Source organism: Homo sapiens, chromosome 18 (assembly GCF_000001405.40).
Source record: "Homo sapiens chromosome 18, GRCh38.p14 Primary Assembly".
Classification (NCBI taxonomy): domain Eukaryota; kingdom Metazoa; phylum Chordata; class Mammalia; order Primates; family Hominidae; genus Homo; species Homo sapiens.
The window spans coordinates 11,609,284-11,610,612 of record NC_000018.10 but is presented as its reverse complement, the minus strand read 5'-3'; the positions used below and the strand labels follow the sequence as shown (position 1 = coordinate 11,610,612).

Below are 1,329 nucleotides of genomic sequence, written 5' to 3'. Positions count from 1 at the left end.
TCACTCCTCCACCTTCCCTGTCCTCTCACAGATGAGGTTCCGGGCTGTAATGATGGCAATGCTGCCCAGCACAACCCCTGCCCCCATGATGTCAGAAGGTGCCACAGTCTCATGGAGCATAAAATACTGCAGTATAAGGGCCATCACCACCTCGGAATGCAGGACAGCACACACCAGGGCAGGGTGGGCCTTGGTGACCGCATAGCCCACACATGTGAAGGAGACCAAGGTGAGGATCCCCACTGCCCCCACACAACTCCAACTCAGGAGGTCACTGGGCAACACGGGGGACTGCAGCACAAAGAGGCCTGGCACAGAGCCCAGCAGCCCCACCAAGCCAGATAGGAAGGCCACTGTTGGGAGGCAGGAGGGAAAGTGCAGAGAACGATAGACGAGAAGCCCCAGGGACAGCGCCAGTCCTCCCAGGAAAGCCTGCACATAGCCCAGGCCGGTGTAGACACCCGTGGTCCCCTCCTGTAGTGTCCAGAGTCCAGGTCCCACAATGATTATTAGTCCTAGGATGCTGCCCAACAGTCCACACCAGTCGTAGCCACTGAGAACCTGGCTCTCAAGGCAGAGGGTGAGGATGGCGGAGCAGACGGTGGAAGAATGTTTGCGAACAGTGGCAGCATTGCCAGTGGGCACCACCTGAACCGCACTATAGGCACATCCAATGTTGAGGACGTTGAGCAGGGCACAGAAGCAGGTGCGGCCTCGGATGTCAGGAGGTCCCAGAAGGGGGTCGCCACGCAGTTTAAGTAGCAGGGCAATAGGGAGGTGGAAGAGGCATCGACAGATGACCAGCTCCAGCGAGGGCAGGTTGGAAGCCTGGTAAGCCATACGAGAAAGGGGGCCCACGAAGCCAGCAGGCAGGCCCCCACCCAGCAGGGCCACCAGCAGGCCATTGGTGGCATCAGAGGGCTGGCAGCGCTGGTGCCAGTGGAGGCTGGGTGGAGTGGAGGGCGGCGATGGGTGTGTGGAGTCAGGCAGGTTGAAGTAGGGGTGACTGCCAGCCATCTTTCCTTGGACTTTCTCCTCTCCTCCTGGCTCAGGGAGCCTGGGCCCCTCAGAGCTCCAGCCACTGTGACCTCATTGGAGTTGGGGTGGGGTTCTTCCCTGGAACTATCCTGAGGTGGTAGCACGCCTATTTTCCCGCTGAGTCCAACTCTGCTTCTTTTCTTTCTTTCTTTTTTTTTTTGTTGATCATTCTTGGGTGTTTCTCGGAGAGGGGGATTTGGCAGGGTCATAGGACAATAGTGGAGGGAAGGTCAGCAGATAAACAAGTGAACAAAGGTCTCTGGTTTTCCTAGGCAGAGGACCCTGCGGCCT

At 58.1% G+C, this 1,329-nt stretch overlaps 1 protein-coding gene across 1 annotated transcript; it reads right to left on the bottom strand.

Annotated features, from left to right (window-relative positions):
* Positions 1-1,017, bottom strand: SLC35G4 (solute carrier family 35 member G4). The gene has a single exon (NM_001282300.2). It carries the CDS (start codon positions 1,015-1,017, stop codon positions 1-3), a length of 1,017 nt encoding a protein of 338 aa, NP_001269229.1.
* Positions 1,018-1,329: the final 312 nt, after the last annotated feature.

Coding starts and splice junctions, on each gene's coding strand:
- SLC35G4 (NM_001282300.2), bottom strand. CDS start 1,017: ATGGCTGGCAGTCACCCCTACTTCAACCTGCCTGACTCCACACACCCA.